Here is a 2,288-nt window from a genome sequence, read left to right as displayed (position 1 = left end):
ACAGAAAACAGGTTTAGCAAAGTCATTGAGAGTCACACAGCTGAGAAGGGAGGTTGGAGTGGCCTTGAGAGATGGGCTGGCTTACAGATCTTTTGCTGCACTGGAGCGTACAGCTTCTACCTGCTCTCTGCTTGCAGTGACTCTGTCCTTTTGGAGTTGAATCAGACAACTTGGGATCCCTTTTTTGTCCGTTGCTATGTCACTTCTTTATTTGTGTGCCAGCATAAGCCCAACAGTTTTGACACCTGTTCAATGAAGAAGACTTTTATAGACAGAATAAACGGTACACACACATACACACACACACACACACACACGCAAGAATAATGGGTAATCTATGGTGAAAGACATCTGGTGTTACAGGTTTATTATTACTAAAATACAAGCAAGATTCGTTTCTCTCCTACATTAGAGACACTTATACTGAGAACAAGGAGTAATTTAAGGAAATTGAAACATCTATACTTGAAGTCATTTTTAATGTCTTTCTTTAAAATAACAGTTTTTTAATATTCCTAGAATCCCATAAAGCATTGTTTTATTCATGTGACTGCCATACTTAATGATCTTCAGAGATATCCTGCTAATGTCACCAAGTCCACACCCTTTAGCTTGGAGTTCAATGTCTGCAATAATGTCACCACAACCTAGATTTCTAGTTTTATTTCCAAGCTCTCTTCTCCACCCCTGAGAGTTTCCCTCCTCTTTGTCTGTGCTTGCTTCTCTCTGCTTACCTTCAATTTCAGCCCTGGCTCCTCAGTGAAACCTGCTGCTACTGACAATACTGTCTACGCTGAAAATACTTGGCCAAAATCCAAAAACTTATTCTGAGGACTAACACCCCAATTTGGCACATTGTGACACAAATCTCTTGCCAGTTTAGTATGGTCTGCTCTCACCCTGTGAGTGAGCCTGGCTAGCGATGCCTCTCCTTCAAGATCTTGGATTTGATGAAAAAAGATAGTTCTAGTCTCATGAAGAGCCTATTAGCTGCATGGCCTATTTTGGTAACAGTCAAATCCATATCTTGTTACAAACTCAAAAATGACAAGTACTAGTAGCGAAAAGGCAGGTGATATGGTTTGGCTGTGTCCCCACCCAAATCTCATCTTGAATTGTAGTTCCCATAATCCCCATGTACTGTGGGAGTGACCCAGTGGGAAGTAATTGAATCATGGGGGCGGTTACCCCCATGCTGCTGTTCTCATGATAGTGAGTGAGTTCTCATGAGATCTGATGGTTTTAGAAGGGGTTTTCCCCACTTTTGCTGACACTTCTCTCTTGCCTGCTGCCATGCACGATGTGGCTTTGCTGCCCCTTCGCCTTTTGCCATGATTACAAGGCCTCCCCAGCCATGTGGAGCTGTGAGTCCATTAAACCTCTTTTCCTTTATAAGTTACCCAGTCTTGGGTATGTCTTTATTAGCAAAGTAAGAGTGGAATAATACAGCAGGGCATGAGAAAAATCAAGGTAACCCTCCCAACATCTTGTCTGGTTTTAATCCCTTATTAAAAATGCCAGGCCAGCTCAAATGAGACTCATATGTCTGAAATCCAGGAAAGGAAGGAGGCTAACATGTGGGCACCAGAGGCAAAAGAATATGTTTGTAACACAGTCCAAGAAAAGAGGAAGCTGAAATCATAGTAGAATACTGCAGGAAACAATCATGCTGTAAAATGAATGAAGACACCAAAAAAGGGCTTTGAAAATTCTACGTTTGAAGCAAGAACTTACAAGAAGGAATGCAGCTCTCACCAGGTACCAACTTGATTTTCTTTTTAGGCTGGTGACAGGCCAGGGGGATAATATAGTCGGAAAATGTTTGTATTTCAGCAACACGTTTGCTAAAGCCTTCCACTGCATCCTTGTAAAATCAAGTGAAATACGCTTTGGATCAAGTAACAGATACCAGGTGGATCAGTCATATCCAAATTAGCAGCTTTCTATTATCCTGCAGGGAATCTGTGGCTGGACTACCATCTCCTAATAATATGCTTATCAACTTTACACGTGGCACAAACAATAAGGGATTAGATGTCCAAGAGATGACAGAATTAAAATTATTTTGACAAGCTGACACCAGTACAATTAAAGTTAACATAGATAAATGTTAAGTTCTTTATTTAGGCTGATTGTTTCTTCTGTTGAGGTTTCTATGGCTTAGTATACAGGATTATAAGAAGATGCTGCTATGGGCTGAATGTTTGTGCACTCCCACTCCCAAAATTTCCATGTTGAAGCCTATTCTCCAATGTGATGATATTTGGAGGTGGGGCCTTTGAGAGATA

The 2,288-nt window shown here is 41.0% G+C and overlaps 1 annotated feature.

The window, feature by feature from the left end:
- Positions 1,230–1,339: an enhancer, noted in NCBI's record as "active region_1213". NCBI's record gives its function as "activates an Ori minimal core promoter by ATAC-STARR-seq in GM12878 lymphoblastoid cells {active_cell/tissue: GM12878}" and the evidence as "EXISTENCE:reporter gene assay evidence [ECO:0000049][PMID:35858748]".

This window comes from Homo sapiens, chromosome 1 (genome assembly GCF_000001405.40).
Source record: "Homo sapiens chromosome 1, GRCh38.p14 Primary Assembly".
NCBI lineage: Eukaryota > Metazoa > Chordata > Mammalia > Primates > Hominidae > Homo > Homo sapiens.
Note: the sequence above shows the minus strand (reverse complement) of the source record. Positions and strands in the feature narration are given on the sequence as shown.